The 21,730-nt window shown below is 46.9% G+C and overlaps 1 protein-coding gene across 1 annotated transcript in view; it reads left to right on the top strand.

Moving 5' to 3' along the window:
- Positions 1–21,477, top strand: part of MARCHF4 (membrane associated ring-CH-type finger 4) — a 114,619-nt gene extending 93,142 nt beyond the window's left edge. Inside the window, exons 3-4 of the mRNA NM_020814.3 lie at positions 1,478–1,670; positions 19,663–21,477. Of these exons, the coding sequence (NP_065865.1) occupies positions 1,478–1,670; positions 19,663–20,030 (561 nt within the window). The 3' untranslated portion in view covers positions 20,031–21,477. The remainder of the gene's footprint in view (positions 1–1,477; positions 1,671–19,662) is intronic.
- Positions 21,478–21,730: the final 253 nt, after the last annotated feature.

Genomic DNA, 21,730 nt, shown 5'->3' with positions numbered 1-21,730 from the left:
AGTTGTCTCACCCCACAAGCTCTTTTGCTGTCTCCACTCCACCCACTTGTATCTTCTCCCAGGCTTTTATCCTTCCCATGCTTTCTTCTGGCACAGGCCTTTCTACATGCTCTTCCCTCTGCCGGGAGCAGTCTTCCCTCCTTTCTTTGCCTAGTAACCGCTTAGTCAGCTCAAGTATTGCTTCCTCTGGGAAGTCGAATCCCCCTATCACCGGCTCTCACTGTGCCATGTTCCTCCCTGATTTACCCTTGATAAATTGCAGGTTCGAATAATTATATTGTTGTCTAAGTTCCCTAGACTATAAGCTCCACAGGGGCAGGCACCTTGTCTGTTTTCGCCTAGGGCTTCATTGCCAACACCTAGCATAGTGGCCAGCACATAGAAAATACTCAATATATATTCCTTGAGTAAGTGCATGAATAAACCCCAAGTTAAAAATCTAACTCCTGGCTCCTTCAGACCTGTACTGCCCGGATCAGCCATAGAATCATAGACTTTCAGAGTTGAAACTCACCCACACCCTAGCCTTTAACCCATCTGTCAATACTGGTATAAGCACAGGGCTTTTTCTGTTAAAAAATGAAATAATAGTGTTGATATGCATTCAGTAAATTATAAGCTGCCTTTCTTCTCTCTCCCCACATCTCATTCTCTCGTCTAGTGAACTGGTAATCTCTAGCATATAAATTAAGAGGCATGCAAGGTGATGTTGTAGAAAGCAAGAAAAAAAAATCAAAAACAAAAAAGCCTGTGCACTCTCAGCACCTGTTAGTGAGAAAATAGACTGTGTTTCTCTGAAAAGAATGATCTGGGGGCAGGCTGGGCATGGTGGCTCACACCTGTAATCCCAGCACTTTGGGAGGCCGAGGTGGGCGGATCACGAGGTCAGGAGATCGAGACCATCCTGGCTAACACAGTGAAACCCTGTCTCTACTAAAAAATACAAAAAAATTAGCCACGCATGGTGTTGGGTGCCTGTAGTCCCAGCTACTTGGGAGGCTGAGGCAAGAGAATGGTGTGAACCCGGGAGGTGGAGCTTGCAATGAGCCGAGATCGTGCCACTGCACTCCAGCCGGCGACAGAGCAAAGACTCCATCTCAAAATAAATAAATAAATAAATAAAAGAATCATCTGGGGGCCTAGAACACCACCCTCACTAGCTCTGCATTTTCATTGTTCCCTCCATTTCTCTGTGTATATCATTATCAAGTCTAAGGGTCTTCCTTTCCAGCCATGCCCACCTAGAGCCCCCTCCTTACAATGAACTGTGATCATTTGGTGTGACAGAGATTTCCTCTGCATCAAAAGTTCAATGTGAAATTCAGAAACCTGCAAAATGCTCATTGTACCACAGGTTGGAAAGCCCTGGCTTAAATCCTAAATCAGAGGTGAGCTGTTGGAGCAGCAGACAGAAGAGGGGTGGGAATGGGATAAGGGCATCCAAGCAACTGCTAACTGGCCACTCTCTCCCCTGCAGTGGCAGGCCATCTCTCTGACGGTCATTGAGAAGGTTCAGGTTGCAGCCGCCATCCTGGGCTCCCTCTTCCTCATCGCCAGTATTTCTTGGCTCATCTGGTCAACTTTCAGCCCCTCGGCAAGATGGCAGCGCCAAGACCTTCTCTTCCAGATCTGCTACGGGATGTATGGCTTCATGGACGTGGTGTGCATAGGTGGGTCTGGGGGTTTGTCTCCATGGGAAGTGGGGAACCATGTGCTCGTGGGATGGACAGATCCCTCAGGATCCCCCACTGTGGGAGGCTGAAGCAGATATGGCCCCAGGCTTGAGAACTGGGAGCTCAGGAGAGGCCAGAGGCTTGGATTCAAGGGGTGGATGGGAAGGGGGAGGAGGCAGGGAAAAGAAGGAAGATCTAGATCTTTCCCAAACAAACCTGTCTTGCACAGTTGAAGATAAAGATGAGGCCTGCCTCTAGGAGGATTTGGGAAAAATTGTTAGTCTATGTACTTCAAGCAGGATGTGCATGGCCTCCTCTCCACTGTGCACCCTATACTGCCAAGCATGACAAGGGATGCCTGCCCATTTCATTCCATTCTCTTCACAGCAAACTACCTAGAGACAGCCATGGTTGAATCTGCCCCCACTCCCTGCCTTATTCCAGCTTTCTCTAAGCCTGTTTCAATGCTCTGAGTTTCTCTAGTCCAGTGGTTTTCCAGCTTTGTGTAGTACTGGGGCCTCACACACAGCTCCAGGCTCTCCCATCCCACCAGGGAATGGAAAAGGAATGCCGCACAGAGAGGCTTCAAATCCTCACTCCTGTTTCATCATGGCTTCTGTTCTTTTATCTATTTACATGTGTTTCTGTTCCAGATAAGGTTTCGTTTAAAAGGTTTCAGTGTTTTAGAAAAAAAAAATTGGAACCTACTGCTATAGATCCTGCTCCTTCTCTGACCCCATCCCCAAGTTTATATTCTTCCTTTCTTCCACCATGTAGTTTGGGTGGTTGCGGGCTGGGTCTTTCCCCTCCCTCCCCCAACAGATGATTGTGGCTGTTGACTCTGAAGATATGGTCCAAGCAGCTAAGGAGGTGGGGAAGCGCTGGTCAGACATCCCACCCTAGAACTCTCAGGTTATCCCCTAAGTCACAGTCCTGGGAGCATTAGAGTTCCACAGTTATCCTCTCCCGGTGTTGTTAGTATGTATATTGTATTAAATAAGCTACACTTCTCTGTTTGGCAGAAAAATATCTATTAGCTAGAATTTGGCTGGGATGACGTTTGTGTGAATTTCTTTGGAGTTCTTTAATATTAGGGATCAGAAAAGCCTGGAGACTTACATACTGGTTGCAGCAGCCAGAGACCAGGGATGCTGGAACTTGTAAACTTCTCTAAGCCATCTTGCTGTCTCTCCACATTAGCTAAACCAATATTTCAACTCCAAGTTCAAGAGTCTTTTAATTATAGCACCTAGTCAGTGAGAGAAGCAGATAGCCCAGGTTTGGAGGACTATGAACAGGGAACAATTTGACATTGATGCATTCTAATTTCTTTCCCCCTCCCACCAAACTCCCTTCCTACTCCTGCTGAGCCCTGGATTATTGATGCCAAAAGCCAGGTGTGTCTCCATATGGAGGTTTACAGCAGCTCTGGCATGGAAGGGGGAAACAGTGGAGGGGCCCCTCTAGCTGCCCTTCATTCTCCTTCAGACAGGCTTTAGATCAGTCTCTGATGTGTCCTATAAGACATGCTTTCCTGTCACATGATGTATTAGTCAGCTAGTCAGCATTGGCTACAGTAACAAACAATTCCACAGATCGCAGTGCCTTACAACAAACATTGATTTCCCATTCAGGGGTTTGGGAGATGGCTTTGGTTCTGCTGAGGTTGGCTGGGCTTAACTTCTGGTTGTGCATTGGGTTCAGGCCTGCTCTGAGTGTCTCCTCATGCTGGGACCCAGGCTAACGGAGCAGGGACTACTGGGTGTGCTATTTTCCTAGATGAATGCAGGAGCACAAGGGGGCTTGGTGGAAACTTGCAATGCATCTCAAAACGCCTGCTCAGAACTAGTGCACTCTCCCTTCTGCCCACAGCCTATTGGCTAACACAAGTAGTCAGTAAGCTCAACATCAATAGGGTAACAGAGCAGGGAAATAAGTTCCTTCCCTGGAGGGAGCACGGACAAAAGAGAGGAGCATAAATGCCTGCTACCACCAATGGCTCTACAGATTTGAAGACCGAATTGAATATAGAAGAGACCACCATGTCATCGACCAGTCTGGCTTGCTTGCTTTGCAGCTGAGAGAACTGAGGCTCAGAGAGAGGAAATAATCTGCTCAAGGTTCTTATCTGGGATTAAAAGTGAGGTCTCCTGACTCACAACCCAGTGCTCATTCCATTAGCTGTCTTGCACCAGATAGCAGGAGTCCCATGGTGTGACCTATGGAAAACCTACAGATGCCACCTGTGACTTTGAGTGCACCTGGGCCCACTCACAAGGGGGCTGTCATGCATAGGTCTGTTCCCCATGGCTCTGAGCCTCCCAGCACTCCCGCTCAGCCTGGCCTGGTGCTCTGGTCTCTTCTTCTCATGGTGTTTCTCTCTGAGTAGGGCTCTGTGCCACCTCTCCTCCTCCTCCTGTTTCTTGGCTTTTTTCTAGCTGCCTGCCTTTTCCCTGGCACACTTCTATCTCTCTAATTCTTTTTCTTATACACATGTGGCACTCAGTCCTTCAATTTATTGGGAGAAGCAGAGTGGGCTGAATATTGAGAGTTTTCATTGTTTCCCTTTCTTCGGAAAACATAATAGCCCAAGATGCAAAAGCACACCATAATTTATCCATTCTGTGCTGACAAGCCAGTGACTGCTTGGAGACAGCTATGGGATGGGAGAGGGAATGCAGAGGGACCCTACTTGCTTTCAGTGTCATCCAAAAGTGGTGAGATCTATTGACATTTAGACCATCTCACCTTTAAGGAGTGAGTTCAGACAGCTCTATCATTGTATTGATTATAATAAGAACCTATACCATTTCAGAGCATGACTGCGGGGGCAAGGATTCGTCTTCCCATTTTTCAGATTGTGAAATTCTGAAACAGAGGCATTTGTCTTAGGCTGACTCCCACAGCAGAGTAGAAGTCTCAGTTCAGGGTTTTCATAGGAAAGGCTGTCCACAGGGGAAAATGCTAGGAGAAGAAATAAAAAGGAGTAATATGTGATCTTGCAAGAGAGTGGGAGGTGCAAGGCAATGGTGGGAATCCACAAACAGGTTCTTGGGGTTGCAATGATGGGGATTTTACTGATGGTAAAATGATGATAACCAGTAGTGATGACAGTGGTTTGAGGGTGAAATTCAACTTCTCCTTCTGTGCAGTATTCTGTCCAGTAGAGGGAAAACGCATCACACTGCACAATTTGGTGCAAAAATATCTGCTTTTTAAGGGCTCTCTGGAGGGAGAATCGGGTAGAGCCTGCAATGCCTGCCAGGGATATCTTTATTTTTAGGCTCAACTAGACATTCTGACTCATGGGGACTTCCAGAGAGCACATTTGGCATTAGATTCACTCAGGGCAATGTAGGACAGGAACCACAGCCTCTGGGATGGCAAGTCGGGCTTACCTCTGCAGGGAGTCCTCACTGCACTCCACATCCTAGTCCCTAGCTATTCTCTTGGCTCCCAAACAGTACCTCAGGAGCAAGAAGATGAGACCCACAACCATGGGTATAGGGTCCACCTGAGCATCATTTCCAGGGTTCCCGCAGAAGTCATACTCAGTTCAGGTCACTGTGCTCGGGGAAGCCCAAAGCCACAGGCTCCCAGCAGGCATCCCCAATAAAACACCCATTAACCAGGGGTTGCCCCCAACTCAAGTGATGCTGTAACACAACCGACACTCCAACTTCATCAAATTTCCAGAATGCCAACCCAGGGTGCAGTTTGCTTTGAGAGAAGGAGAAAATGTCCCCATCACCCCTCTCCCACCACCTCCTGCCTCCACCCATGAACCTGGACCTCTGGCCACCCAAACCAGATTTACTGAACCAATGAGAGACAGAGAAGCTAGAACAGGGAACAGAGACCTGGCTGGGACTGCCAGAAGGAGGCTCAGCGTGGTCTTCTTGCTGCACGAAGGCGGAAACAAAGGCAGGAGCCACGGGAGGCATCTATCTTACATCTGAGGCATTCTACAGTTTCAAAACCTGATAGGTTAGTTTGCTTCCATGAAAAAGGGGGAAGCTTCCCTTCCAGAAGTCCTGAGAGAGTGGAAGAAGAGAATGTGAATGGGAAGAGGAAGAGAAGGCTCCCTGGCAGAGAGTGGGTGGAAGGGATTTCAGCAGAGGGGCATCTTCTCAAGAAATGCTGGTTGAGGAAAACATTGACAAAAAAGCATCAATATCCATAAGCCCAAGCTCCTCGGATGGGTGGAGCAATTCAGCACCTGAGATAAAAATGTTATCATCAGGAGAAAAGAAAATGAGTCTAGCCCTGTGTTGGCTCAAAAAGCCGAGTAAGAGAAGAGGAACAAAACCATCTGCTGCGATGAGTCTCTAGACTTTCTTTATATTTCAGATACCAAGGACAATTTGTTTATTCCCTAAGACTGTTAAATGGCCACAGATAGTAAAGAATATGAGTAAACATAAAATGGATGGTTTTAACAAATCGTTAACAATGTATTTACCTTTCCTTTTGGAGCGGTGTGCTGAGGGACAGCTCATGAAAGTAGGAGGGACTCCAAGGAGAAGCTTCACGAAAGCCAACTGCAGCTCTGCAGATACGCCCTGCCAGGAACCCAGGAGGATGCTGTGCAGGACACTGCCTGCTTGCTGCCCATGGAGCTGCTTCAACCCCATCCACAGCTGTATCCATCCAACTGGCTCTTAGCAGTCAATGAGAAGACTCCAGAGCAGTGACTCTCGGAGAATGGCTCAGTGCTTACCAAAGGATTTTGCCTGAAATGACTGCCAGGAAAGTCTGAGCTCCCTATTTGATACAGCACAGTTCCAGAGTTGAGGATGATGTCTTTAGACTTGGTTATACCAGAGGGTTGTACAATTACTGACACAAGCTGCCTCGACAGACAAAGCATCTCTTAGCTTAGGGTCCTAACTTTCTAGACTAATGCATGCCACTGTGAAAGCCAAACGTACGTTGCTTTGGATGGAACAAACTGTGACATCCCTGCAAGAACAGAGAGAAACCGATTAGCCCCAAAAGATAAGCAGGATAAGCATTAGGATGCATATTTAACAGATGAGGAAAGGCTTAAAGCAACTGTGCTCCAAGTCACACAGCTAAGAAAATGGTGGAGCAGAGGATTGGACCAAGAACTTCTGGCTGTAATTCCAGGGCTCTTTCTACTATCTATTTCTTCTCTGATTGCTCTGTAAAATTGCAAATGCAGAGCTTGGTTGGGGAGGCAGGTTGGGGGGAAATTAGTCCAGTAATATTTTGACCCTCATGATAACTGCTGGTAACAATCAGAAATTCAGTGAGCCCCAGCTGCTCCTGTCCTATATTCAGGGTTTGGGAGGTTAGCCATTGTTGCATCTCCTTTTTGATTGTGCTATTTTGACATCAATTGAGAGAGAAGCCTGAGAAATTGAGATGAAATTTTATGGTTTATCTCCCTATAAGACACTCTGGTGAAAGGTTCTTCAGGTGAGAGAAGCTAAATCTAGTTAACATGAACTTGGGGAATCCATTTATTCATTAATTTAAAAATACTTATTCAGGCCAGACACAGTAGCTCATACCTGTAATCTTGGCACTTTGGGAGGCCAAACTGGGAGGATTGCTTGATACAGCCTAGGCAACATAGGGTGTTTTTTTAGAGATCTCTAAGCCTCCCAAAATGCTGGGATTACAGGCATTAGCCACCATGTCTGGCCTACCAGAGATCTCTAAAAAAAAAAAAAAAAAAAAAAAAATTAGCCAGGTGTGGTGGTGTGCACCTGTAGTCCCAGCTACTTGGGAGGCTTAGATAGGAGGATCGCTTGAGCACAGGAGGCCAAGGCTGCAGTGAGTTATGATGGTGCCACTGTACTCCAGTCTGGGTGACACAGTAAGACCATGTCTCAAAAAAAAAAGAAAGAAATATTCAGAGGAACCTGGGTATATACACTCAAATGAGAGAGTCACCTGCTTTCAAGAATCTTTCTTCTTGTTGGGGAGGGAGACAAGGTAATCACTGAACCCCATATAATAAGAGCTGGGACTGAGGTCTGAACATAAGAATGAGTGTGAGCCCAGGAAAGAGGAACTTGAGTCAGAGCGGGTCATATCCATTCCTTCAGTAGCTTTTGTTGGCTGCCTTGTTTTGTTCCCAAAACTAGAGAACATTCACAAAAAGATGAATAAGACACAATTCCTTGCCCTCAAGGAGCTCATAGTCTACAGATAAGTCACAATCCAGGATGGGCTGTACATGGTACAGAGGAAGGTAGAGCAGAGCAGAGAGCAATTGACTCTCTTGGGGGAGTCCAGGAAGGCTTATTGAAGGAAGAAACCCTATCCTTGAGCTAGTTTCCAAAGACAAATCAAAGTTCATCCAGAAGAGGGGGAAAGAGTATTTCAGGCAAAGGAACTAGCATTGTATGGAGGTGCAGAGACATGAGTGAGCCAGGTATGCTTAGGAAATATTGGTGAGTCTGTATGGCTCAATGCAAATAGTCAGGCTGGGAGGTGGGTGATGGGCAAGGGGCTTGGAGCAGTTGGCCATGCCAAATCCCACAGAGTCATGGGTCATATGCTAAGCCACTCAGATTTGACCCCACTGGTGGTGGGGAGGCATTGATAAAATTTCGAATGGGGAAATATGATCAGATTTGCATTTTAAATTGAACTCTAGTTCAAATGGGGAAATATGAACAGATGTGCATTTTAAATTGAACTCTAGCAACTATGGAGAGAATGGGTCAGAGGTGGACAGAATAGGGAAGGGAAGGACTTCGCTGGAAAATGCTTGTAATAGGCTAAGCAAGAAATAGAGTTGCAACACAGTGGCAGTAGGGAAGAAGTGTAGGGATGACCTTGAGAGGTACTTAGGATGTAGATTTGATAGGGTTGTTTGGGTCCCTCTTAGGAGAGTGAGAGTCCCAGAGTGTGGCTTGAGTGGGGAATGGGCACCATTGTGGAGCCTGAGAATGGGATGGGCAATGGATAGAACAAAGGACAACAAAAGGGTATGTCCTTGGCAAAGGCATCACAACAAAAGGACTAACCTTAAGCCTAAAATCCAGGCAGAGAGGCAAGAGCCTCTCTAAGCCAAGAGTTTGTAGTAGAAGATAAACAAGACACATGGAGTACATTATGGAATACAAGGAGGAGAAGGCAGTACTAAGAAGAGGTTTTTTTGTCAGGGTAGAAAGAGGGAGAGGCCTTTTATAGCACACAGGTAGTCCCCTCCTGTGACGTAGAGGAAGATGTTGAGGGCATTGGTCCTGTTCTGACAAGGGTTGGTGACTGATGGGGTTGGGGCGGGTGATAAAAGAGGGTTAAAAATCTCTGGTAGGCCAGACATGGTGGCTAATGCCTATAATCCCAGCATTTTGGGAGGCTAAGGCAGGAGGATCACTTGAAACAAGGAGTTCAAGACCAGCCTAGGCAACATAGTGAGTCCTCATCTCTACAAAAATTTAAAAAATTAGCCAGGCATGGTGGTGCACACCTGCAGTCCCAGTTACTCAGGAGGCTGAGACAGGAGGATCACTTGAGCTCAGGAGTTTGAGGTTATAGTGAGCTATGATTATGCCACTGCACTCCAGCCTGGGTGACAAAGTGAAACCTGTCTCAAAAAAAAAAAAATTTCTGGTGGATGCCTAGATTTCTGTAGGCAATTGGATAATGAGGCTTGAAGACAGATTTGGAAGTGAACAGTAAAAGGTGTTTGAAGCTGTGGGTTTTGATGAGAAAATGCAGTGCTCAGAGAGTATGTGGCTGAGGACAGAGGACTAGGGGACACTAACCAAGTAAGGGACAGTTGAAGATAGAGAATGAGAAAACAATAGGAAGGACTGAGTCACAAAGGCCAGAGTGGTGGGTTTCCCAAGTGGCAGCTGTACTACAGAATGGCCCAGGGCTCAGCTTCTTACTAACCTTGTGACCTTGAGGAACTGGCACTTCTCTCTGCTTCCCTTTCCTTGTCTATGAAATAGGATAATAACACCATCATCAGAGGGTGGTTCAGAGGTTTGAGCACTGTGGCAAATGTAAAGTAGTGTGTCCTTGTAATCATCAGGGACCAGGTAGGAAGCGCTTGATCAGGGTGGATTCCCCTCAGAGGGAACACTCAAGAAAGGTTTGCCGAAACTGTTATAATCAGAATGCAGCTACAGCCTAGATATAGAGATCGCCTGAACCTGTGTCCTCACGTCATTAAAAGTCTGCTCTTATTTGGAGTAGTGCTTTTTCTTGAAGGTTCTTTGTTCCCTCACCTATGTCCCCTCAATGAGAAGATCTGATTATATCTAATGTCCTCGTTCCACCTGCCTCCTCTTCTGTCATCTCTAATGACGCTGTCCTCTGCTGCAGAGAAGCTGACAGAGCCTCCCAGCAAACAAATGGGGTATTCTCTGCTCCACTGGGTCAAGTTATTAGGATTTAACAAGAGCAAATTAATTAAGGGCTTTGGCACCAAAAAAACATTTTTTTAACTCCACAGATGTAAGAGATTGGACATCAAATAGTCAACTCTGCAAAAATGAGGCTCTCTTCTTCATCATGTTTGTTTTTAACTTGTGATTGATATGGGGTCAGGGGAAGGAAGGAAAGGAATGTTCCTGAGATTATTTCCAAAGCTTTAAAACAGTAGAATATGGTAATCAGCAAAATTATAGAAAGTTTTGTTTTTTTTTAAGCTTCCTCTGTGTGTGGTCCCCTGAGGTTCTTTTCAGTGATTTAAAGATGCCTGGCCCCTGTCCTCTGAGATGAAGGAATTTAAATCTCATTTTATAGCAAATAGGCAGAGGATGGGGGCAGCAGGATTGTACAAACATTTTTCTTTCAAACCTAATTTTAACCCACGTTAACTACAAAACATACATATGCCACAAAAATTCCTTCCTCTCCTCCTAGCTAGAAATGACTCTACCTGTAAAACCTTTTAATTTCCTGATTAGGAAACTTGGAACATTTGTTGGAGGCAGCCTAGTGCAGTACGAGAAACTAGGAAGCAGATCTAGGTCTGAAGACCAGAATAGCTACTATATTAGTCCATTTTCACACTGCTATAAAGGACTTCCCTGATACTGGGTAATTTATAAAGGAAAGAGATTTAATTGACTCAGTTCCACATGGCTTGGGAGGCCCCAGGAAACTTACAATCATGGCAGAAGTGGAAGGAGGCACCTTCTTCACAAGGCAGCAGGAGAGAGAAGAATGAAGGAGGAACTTCCAAACACAGATCTTGTGAGAATTCACTCACTATCACAAGAACAGCATGGGGGAAACCGCCTCCATGATCCAATCACCTCCCTCCCTTGACATGTAGGGATTATAGGTCCCTTTCTTGATACACGGGGATTACAATTCAAGATGAGACTTGGGTGGGAACACACAGCCAAACCATATCGGCTACTAATCACCTCTATGGCCTTGGACAAGTTACTCCCTCTCTCTACAGTTAGTTCCTCATCTATAAATGAGAGGGGTGAAACCGACAACCTCCAGGTTCCTTCCAGGTCTGACATCCCAGGATTTTGATGTCACCTCCACACTGAGATGCCAGGGCTTGCAAAGGCTGACACTTGTGACCGTGGGGCATCCCCAGCAATATTGGGCTGGGCCACAAAACTGACATGAGAAGCAGCAGCTGTAGAAACTGGCGAGATGATGCCCATCCACGTTCTGTTACTTGCATGTAGCTTATCTGGTTTTCTAGATTCCGTGTTAACTCCTTCCCACCCACCCGGGGCCTCCTGTGACGGCCACCAATCTCCACAGCCAAGTGGCTGGTTGCTTAGAGATGAAGATGACTGATTTAGAAGCAGATGCACTGTCCTTTTCCAAAGAGACCCCTCGAGAGGCATTTCATTTATCCCAGTTGTTCTGACAAAGCTCAACATATTTTAGGAATATTTCTTGGGAACTGTCTTTGGCACAGAACAGATTCAGGAGTGGCCTGTCTGTTGGCAGTGGGTTTGTGACTAGAAATAGCCCCAATTTGATAAATAAGGTGGAAGCTCAAGCCAGCTAATACATTTTGGGGACAATATGAAACACGCCATCAAGCCACAAACTTCTTTTCTTGTGTGGTCCCTAACCTAGAGCTATAGGTATGTTAGTTAGGGTAACTTCAGCAGATAGAAAAAAATAAGCCCCTATGTGTCAGTGGTTTAACCCAATAGAAGTTCCTGAGCAGTAGGAGATTCTCTTCCACACAGCAATTTGGAGTCCCAAACTCCTTCCATCTCTGGGCTCCACAGGCCCCTTGGGCTGCTGAGTCTTTTGCCTCCAGCTAATAGAAAATTAAACAGAGCATGAAGAAGTCGTCTTCTGCCCCAGCCTTGCACAAGTTTTCTCTCAATACCCATTTCTTTTTTCTTTGTTTTTATTTTTATTGGGCAAACCTCATTCTATAAAATCAAATGGAATGAGTGTTCCCTAGACCCATTTCTTAAATGCTGGCCTGGCTTGTGGTCACATTCAGTACTAGTCACCTGGTCTCACCTTGGTGCAAAAAGCTAGAAAATGTAACTTCTCAGTGGCAACTTTATACCAAGGAAAGGGAGTGTGGATTTTAGTGGACCGTTAGCCATCTCTGTCACAGAAGGCCAACCCCACTGAGCAATTTCCAGAAATGTTCTGAACTGGGATAGCCCAATAGGAGTAAATACCCTATTTCCAAAGGGCAATCCTTGGGATTTTAAAAGACAAAACTCTGATTCGATATAGAAAGGTGTTGGCATGTTTACTTAAATAAACTACTTTTGTAACTTTATGGTAACTTTATAATAAGCTTTGTAATTTTATAATAGCTCATGTGACGTGTAGCCTGGCCATACCTGTGTCCAGTATAAAGCTGCACCCTGGAGAATACTGGGCAGGCAGTGATGTTGTCAACCTGGCCTTTCCCAGCAGTACCCCCTGAACTCACCCAAAATAGCCGGTTATATTCATTTCTTTCAACCGTTCCCTGATATGTGCTTTGGTCCAGGTTCTTAACAGGGCTGGGCACTGGAGGAGTGGAATCTGGAAGATGGGTGGTTGGCAATGGTAGGGCTTCAGAGTGAGACACTACTAAGCCTCACCCCATAGCTGTCTGACAGTGGGGAATTCTGCAGGGAAGGAGAGTGCCTCTCTGTGGTTGGAGAGGAGGCACCAGTATGAGAATCATTTGGTCTCTAGAGTGCTTTTTACCTCTGGCATGTCATTCATCTATAAACAATGACTTGACTGAGGGCTGGGGAGTCAGGAGATGAAAGAGCAGGTACTTGTGTTGGGGACAAGGTTGCCAATGAAGAAGGAGGAAGAGAGATGAGTGGGCTTTTCTTGTGTCCTGTAATCTCCCCCACGATAATCAATATCATGTGGCATTGAGTGTTACATGTGTCCCAGGCACAGTACCAGGTATTGGCACGCAGGACTCATTACTTTATTTAATCTCAAAACAACCCTATGAGGAAGGGTTTACTGATGAGAAAACTGAGTCTCAGAGAGAGGAAGTCCCTTACCTAAAGCCGCAAGGTGAGTAAGTGGCAAACACTCTGAAAGCTTAATATTAATACATACTCACTGGTAAGTTAACTCTTAGTTGTGGGGCACAAAGGTCTTTGGGTCTAGGAGAGGAAGTATTTATTTCTTCCGTTTCTTCCCATTTCCATGTCTATGACATCTGGAAGTAGATTACTTTTTAAAATTACTTATAATAAGTTTTGTGATCAAAATTTAGAACCTTCTATGAGGAATAAAAACCATGTCCTAGCCTAGCAGTCCACACACAGGCAGCATCAGCCTCACCTGAGGTTTCTTAGGAATGCATATTCTCAGGCCTCAGCCCAGAGCTACTAAGCCAGTAGGCCTCCAAGATTGCAGCCTGGGAATCTGTCTTAACAAGCTCTTTGGGTGATTCTAATGCACAGTAGAAGTGTGAAAGGCAGCTGGGCTCAGTGGTTCATGCCTGTAATCCCAGCGGTTTGGGAGGCTGAGGCAAGAGGATCGCTTGAGTTCAGGAGTTGAGATCAGTCTGCAACATGGCAAAACCCTGTATCTATAAAAAATGCAGAAATTAGCCAGGCATGGTGGTGTGTGCCTGAAGTCCCAGCTACTTGGGAGGCTGAGGCGGGAGAATCACTTGAACCAGGAGGTCGAGGCTGTAGTGAGCCATGATCGCACCACTGCACTCCAGCCTGGGCAACAGAGAGAGACCCTGTCAAAAAAAAAAAAGTGTAAAAAGCACTGTTCTAGAGTGTCAGTAACTTTTATATCACTTAACCCAGGCCATTAGCAGGACATGGAGTGGGGGTGGGATTCTGATGACCCGTGGAGCTTGCAGCTTTATGAGGAAGAGGAGCCCCGGAAGGTGGAGAGACATTGGAAAGACAAAGGAGACAATTCTTCTAGAACTGGATTTCCCACAAATACAGCCCAGGGTTGGGTACATTGTAGGTGACCACTAGAACACCATTACATTAAGTATTTAAAAACCAGAAAGGACTTAATCAAAACTTGTTGGGTTTCTGATGTTACTATGCCCCCTCATTTCCCATTTTCTCCTCCTATGACTTTTCTGCCTCTGTTCACCAGCAGCCTTTCTTCCCAATCGAATCCAGTCTATTTCTCTATCCACTGCCACTTCCCATCCCCCTTCCCTTTTTCCCACCTCTTCAACCTTGGCCACGTCACCTGCTCCTATCAGATGAGCCCCAGTCATCTTCCCCTGTTTCTTCGGTACGCTGCCACCCAAGAAATCAATAAGAAATTTGTAGAGCAGGGAGCAGAGGAAGGGCTGTGAAGAGTGGATTTGAATGAGGTAGTTTGTGCTTTTCCCTCTTTTCCCAAACAAGCATTATCTAGAAAAACAGGTCCACCTTCTTCACCTTCAGCCAACTATCCATTAAAATGGTTTAACTACTTCCTGAACACTAGACAGTTAGATAATTGGAAGGCAGCATTCACACCAGGAATTTAAGTCACACTCTTCAATCAGGACAAAATTGCCTGATCAAGAAGCTAATTGAGAATCAAATGTAATGTCCCTTACTGGAAAGAGTGAATTTGGGGCTTCAGAAGATCCCACTTCTCTCTCTCCACACCCCATCTCTTCCACTGTACCATTACACTCCTTGTGCTGTGTTAGCTGCCGGAGATTAACCAGACCTGGCTCTGTCCTCGAGGGGATTACAGTCTGGAGAAAAGAGCATACCAATGTTCAAACAAGGTTTGTGGGATAAATGGACAGATGAATGGCTTCAGTGCCAAGGGTGCATAGGTACACATTCAAAAGATTGGCAGAGATGATGGGAGTTGGTACAACTGGGAGAGGGTGAGAGAGTGGGACAGAAAAGAAGTCTCTTTGTTCAGCATCTCTCAGGCCAGAGCAGAGGGTCCACCAGTGATCTTCAGGAGATTTAGTACAAGGACAGTTTGAGTGTCTGTTTTCTTTCCCCTCCAGAGAGATGGTCCTTCCCTTCGTTAGATCCTCAAAGGGGTGTGATCCAAACAAAGGGCTAGAAACCCCTGAGACTACCTCTTTTTCGATGAACCTTGAAGACTTGTTGAGCGAGGCATGATTTCAGACACAGTTTGAACACCGGAGGAGAAAGTGGCCTTGTGGGTGGCTCTGGTCTCCGAGATTTGCAACCTGTTGGAGACTGAAGAGGCTCTGAGGTTTTGCACCAGGAGGCTGGGGTGACTCATTACTGTTTGCTCCAAGCCGGCTGCTCCCCTGGATCCTCAGTAGCTGTGGGATGAAGCCCACCGTGTGATCATCTCACCCACCATCACAGGGCCCAGCTCCTGGCAGCCTCACTCTCTGCACCAGCATCCCTTTCCTGCTCAGCTCATCCCTACATCTGAGCCGGTCTTCCCAGCCCTTCACCGTGCCCCCCTGCACTTCATGGTCCATCATTAGCAGCCTCCTCTCTGTGTGTTCCCTCCATCTTTCCTACCTGAAGCATGGCTGTGTCCTGAGAACACCGTTTCCCTCACACTGGTGGCGGCTGTTCTTTCCCCCACACACACTGTGTCTTGTGGGGTCTGGAGGTGGGGCCCATGTCCTTCTTGATTTCCATTACCACTCGCAACTACTTCTCTTCCTTCATGCTTCAGAAGCCTCAGCCCCTTTGAAGTCTTTCCTTCTCTCTTTCTTTCTCTTTCTTTCTTTCTTTTTCTTCTTTCTCTCTCTCTCTTTCTCTCTCTCTCTCTCTCTCTCTCTCTCTCTCTCTCTCTCTCTCTTTCTCTCTCCTTCTTTCTCTCTTTCTCTTTCTTTCTCTCTCTCTCTCTCTCTCTCTCTTTCTCTTTCAGGCAGAGTCCTGATTTTGGCACCCAGGCTGGAGTGCAGTGGCATGATCTCGGCTCACTGCAACCTTCACCTCCTGGGTTCAAGCAATTTTCCTGTCTCAGCCTCCTGAATAGTTGGGATTACAGGCGCGTGTCACCATAGCTGACTAATTTTTGAATTTTTAGTAGAGATGGGGTTTCACCATGTTGGCCTGGCTGGTCTTGAATTCCTGACCTCAGGTGATCCACCTGCCGCGGCCTCCCAAAGTGCTGGGATTTCAGGCATGAGCCACTGCGCCTAGGCGAAGTGCATCTTTCTTTACCACCCATTTTCCCTTCTGGATGCTGTTGGATACTGGCTGCCTACTCAGTCCTCAGATACCCTCACGCACCTGCTCATACACTCCCCCTACTCCTGTCCTCAGCACTACATAGATCAGTGCTTGGCAGAGATGGGCCTGTACCCCGGAGGCATTTGGAAATATCTGGGGTTTGTTCATTTGTTTGTCCGTTTCCTAATGTAGTTGTACCATAGCATTTTCACTGAAATGTATATTGTTTTGTTATAAAAGATTTCCCTTTATTATTTTTATTTTATATTCTCTTTTAGGGCATTATATTAATTTAAAAGACATAGTAGCTATGAATTTCATTTCAGGATGGGAATGATGATGTTAAAATATATTTGTTATAAAAAGGGGATGTTTGGTGTGATAGCATTGAGGATGGCTGATGCAGATAGTCTTTCCAATTCCCTGCTCCAAAGATCTTTTCCTCCAGCACACTCCAGCCCCAATCAAATAGTCACATCCTAGATTCATAATTGCTAGTAACCACACCACCTCCAAAATCTGGATTTAAACATCCCACTCTCCGACCATCACCCCCCATTCACTGACTCCAATAATCCTCTAACCTCATAAAGACTTGGCCTTGACTCTCTCACTTTCCACTTTTCATTATTCCTTATACCTTTCGTATTCTCATCCCCAGCCTGGGCTCCATGGTCCAGCCTGATAATCACTCTCTTGCAAGTACATATAATTCTCATGTCTGTTTGCCCAGGGAAACCGTTTACCCTGATTAAGCCCAGGTTTCTTCTTCTTCCACATGTGCACCTGAGCAAGCAGTTTGAAGGGGTGGAGAAAAATCACACAACCAGTAACTAGATTCACTTCAGATTTATGGCTACAAATCTCAAATGGATACTTAACACAGTGAGCTAATTCTACCACATCTCCCTTGTAAATTCACACTCCTACTTTCCGAGATAATTATTTCCCACCTTCTCCTCTCTCCACAAATCTTTAACACTTCCTCTCTTATCTCTTCTATCTTAGCTGATGACTTCATGGGAAAAAAAATATATGTGTACTTGGATGAGAACTACCTGATTTTCTTGCTGTCATTTCTATCATTCTCCCTCCTTCTGTGCCCATGGAACTGGTGGTCATTTCCCATTTTACTCAAGCTGACCTCTTGATAACATTGTAAAGAGTCACTGCACTCTTTCTGAATCCTTCCCTAGGCTTTTGGGTCTCCACACTTGCTGGTCTTGCTTCTACCCCATTGGTTGCTTCTTTTGAGCCTCATTCATTGGCCCTATCTCCACCAAAGCCTCCACCAAGCCTCTAAACACCTGAAGTCCAGGGCTCTGTCTTTGGCCTTCTTCTCTTCCCTAAGAGGTCTCAGCCATTTCCAAGTCTTCAAGTTCTACCTCTACAATGATGGCTTCTATCTCCAGGCCAGACCTCTCCCTAAGCTTCAGACTCATATGTCCAGTTGCCCATCTGACCCTTCTAGTTAGATTTCTATCAGACACCTTAAACTAACCATGACCAAAATGTAGCTAGTAATCACTCTGATAGGCTTGAATCATGGGCCCCAAAGACATCCAGGTCCTAATCCCTGAACCTGTCAATGTTACCTTATATGGAAAAGGACTTCGCCAATGTGATTAATTTAAGGAACTTGAAATGGGGACAGTATCCTGGATTATTCAGGTGGGCCCTAAATGTAGCCACAAGTGTTCTTACAAGAAGGAGAGGGAGATCTGATGACAGAAGAGTAGTAGGAGAGGTGAGAACAGAAGAAAGAGGCTGGAGTGATGCAAGAACGAGGCAGAAATTGCAATTTCTAGAAGCTGAAAAAAGGCAAGAAGACAGATTCTTCCCCCTCAAAGCCTCCAGAAAGAACCAGAAGGTGCCCTGCTGACACTTTCACGTCAGCCCAGTGGGACTGATTTTAGACTTCTGATCTCCAGAACTGTAAGAGAAACATGCATCCCATTTTAAGCTACTAGATGTGTGGTATTTTGTCACTGCAGCAATAGGAAATGAATCCGGTCACCGCAGCCACCACACAAATCCATAGCCCGCCTCTGGTGCCCTCCACTTCTCAGGAAATGGCTTCCCATTCATGCAGCTGCTGAGGCCAAGAGCTTCGAAGTTGTCCAGATCTTTCTCTTCACTCCCACCCTGCGAGTCAGCAAGTCTTCAGCTCTACTTCCAGCACACAGCCTGACTCCAGCAGTTTCTCACTGCTCCACCACCATGACCCTAGTCAATGCTATCACCATTTCCAACCCGCATGACATCACTGCTTCCTGCTTGGCTTTCCACTCATTCTCTTGGCCCTCTTCACAGGTGCCACAGGTGGCTTTATGAAGGGTGAATCAGATCACATCATTCCCCCTACTGAAACCGTCAATAGCTTCCCATTATACTCAGGATAGAATGCAAATCCCTAGCCATGGCCTATAAGACCCTACCATCCATTGGCCTCTGCTCAACTTACCTCCCTCCACTTCCTCACTGCTGCACTGTATTGGTCACACTGACCTTCTCTCTGACCTTGTTCATTCCATTCCCAGCTCCTGGCCTTTGCACTTGGAGTTCCTTCCACCGAAGTGCTCTCTCTCCAGATCTTTGCATGGATCTCTCCTGTTCATCACTTAAGTCTCAACTCAGATATGATCTCCTCCAAAAGGCCTTTCCCACCACCCTTGCTAAAACAGGATCTCAGTGCCTGCAGCCAGTGGATATTTAACCCCAGTTATCTTCCTTAAGGCAATTGTCAGCACCTGAAATTGTCACTTTGGTTTGTTTGTCTATTGTGTGTCTCCATGAAGATGTAAGCTCTCAGAGGGTGTCCTGCCGACTGCAGTATCCCCAGTGCTTGGCACACAATAGGCACACAATGATTATTTATTTGCCTTGCTGCCTGGTGTAACTTGTTTCCAACTCTATCACTGCCTCTGGCAGATATAACTGCATCAAAGGGCTGTTTGTATCTCAGTAGTACTGGGGTATCCATGCAAAGAGTTAACCAGTGGGATTTCTAGCAACCTTTAGCAGGTGTGGAGAAACCATGGGTTTTCTTTTGTGGTGCTTTAAAAGCACACAATTCATTCAACATCTGCTAAGGACTGGGTGCCATGGATACATAATAGAGGGAGGAAAAGATATTTATATTATGCCTTAGTGGATGAATTTGGATTTTGTCGAGGCAGGAAGGGGGTGGGGTGGTGTAGAAGTGGGCGAAGGCACTGCCTGAAGGTGCTCAACTATTTCATGGACTCGGTCTGGTGGCCCCTCCACCTTCTGCCTACTGGAACTTGCTGAGCCTGGGAATCTAGGGATGGTCCTCCCATGGCTCAGCACTGGAGCCATTGCCCATACCTTGCATAGATTCAGAGAGACTGTGGTCTCCTGGCCGTGACCCACTTCCTCTCATTTGGCCTCTGTTTCTCCTCTCCCTGCTGCCTCAGGTCTCATCATCCATGAAGGACCCTCGGTGTACCGCATCTTTAAACGGTGGCAGGCTGTCAACCAGCAGTGGAAAGTGCTGAACTATGACAAGACAAAAGACCTGGAGGATCAAAAGGCAGGAGGCAGGACCAACCCCCGGACCTCCTCATCCACCCAGGCCAATATCCCCTCCTCGGAAGAGGAGACCGCAGGCACCCCTGCCCCTGAGCAGGGCCCTGCCCAGGCTGCCGGCCACCCCTCAGGCCCTCTGTCCCATCACCACTGTGCTTATACCATCCTGCACATCCTGAGTCACTTGAGACCTCATGAACAGCGAAGTCCCCCAGGCAGCAGCCGAGAGCTGGTCATGAGAGTCACGACAGTGTGAGAGCAGAGGCCCGGAAGGAAGGCCATGACCACCACTGAGGGCCCGGAGCAGGGTGGGGAGGTGCAGTGGCACCCCCAGAGCCAACAGAGGGAGCAGGCAGAGGGTGGGGGACCTGGCGGGAGCCCTGGGGTAGTGTCAGAGCGGGAGTGAGGCTGGTGCAGGAGCAGTTCTGCTATTTCCAATCAGTCAATGCCACTCTCCACAACAACAATGAAAACCAACACCAACTCAACAACAAAGTGCAATACAGGCTGAACCTGGCCCAACAGAAAAACCCTGCCCCAATGCACCTGCAGGCAAGGTACCCGAAGAAGCAGAGGCTGAGGGCAGGCAAAGCCTGTGTGACTGTGGCAGTGCCGGAGGCCAAGGGGGCCAAGAGGAAAAGCATCTGTGGTCTGCTCTGCTCTCACCCTGTTTGGTTTTGTTTCTCCTGGGGCTGTGTTCTGCAGGCAGCCAGAAAAGGAGGAGGCACGGGTGAGCTGGCAGGGACACACTGCCTTTGGGGCTCCTGGGCTCATTTGGATGGGCAAGATTCGCTGACAAATGGCTGTGGGGATGGTGGGGTGGATGGTCAGGGAGGGATGCTCAGGGAGGGATATGCTGGTGTGAGCAGCCAGAGGGAGAGTGTGTCTCCTTCCTGAAGGAACTTCCAAATGGAACTCCCGATTTCAGGTGGGCTAAAAGAGGGCTTAGGTTTGGAAAAGGGTGTCCTTCTGTGCCCTTGTTAATTTATTTTATAGTGATTTGGTTCAAAGATGTTTACAGGACACACACACACACACACACACACACACACACACACACCCCTAGAGAAAAGTACAGATTTCCAGTGGATATTTCAAGCACAGTTCTGCTGCTGTGGCTTCAGCTTTGGAAGCTGTCAATCCCGGAGCAACTTTCCCAACTACCCAACCCCACCATGGCCAGGACATGTGCAATGCCAGCCCCTTCTTGTCTTGGCACATGCACAGACCCAGTCCCCTCACGGTAGGGCACCCCTGACCTACGGGCTTCCAAGAGAGCAGCTGCAGTGGTTGGGAGGAGCTTGACCAGTGTGCCCCAAGGAGTGGAGTAGAGCCCAATCTAAGTATTCCTTGCTGCTTGGAACCCTCCCTGTTTGGAACCCTCCCCAAAGAGGCAGTCAGGCTGATGCTCAGTGCTTTGTGCTCCCTGCTCCTTCCCGCGTAGCCAGGTGGGCCCAAGGGTGCCTGGCAGGGAGCACTACCCCTGGACCCCTCCTGCTCGCTCTGGGGACCCTGCCAGGGAAGGCCACTGGGTGTTCACCTGCAAAGTTTCTGGTTGTCACTGCACAGTGGTCGCGTCATCCATGGGTATTAAAAGGACACTGTCAAGTACTTTTTTAAACTAGTTTTTAGGGTTTTTTAAAACTCTCTGTTGTTTGTAATATTCTCTTAAAAGCTTGAAAATAAAACTTCTTTCCCTACCATTAGTGTCCCTTTCCATATGCGAGTTTTTCTTCCTCTTCCCTATCCTCCCTCTGTGGTGTAAACAGCCTTCTTTCTCCCTGTGTCTGCTCCATCCCTTGGAGCATTCTCCAAGGGATAGATTCTCCCCCATCACAAGAAATCAGGCACGTTTTCATTTCTCCTCTGAGGGCACGGACAGGGCAGGATAGGCAGGGATGTTCCCTTCTGTGTGCCTGTGTGTGAATCTGCAGTAAACTCCTGGCCTCTTCTTGG

Source organism: Homo sapiens, chromosome 2 (genome assembly GCF_000001405.40).
Source record: "Homo sapiens chromosome 2, GRCh38.p14 Primary Assembly".
In the NCBI taxonomy this organism is placed as follows: Eukaryota; Metazoa; Chordata; class Mammalia; order Primates; family Hominidae; genus Homo; species Homo sapiens.
The sequence above is the reverse complement of the archived record's forward strand: the minus strand, read 5'-3'. Positions and strand labels throughout refer to the sequence as shown.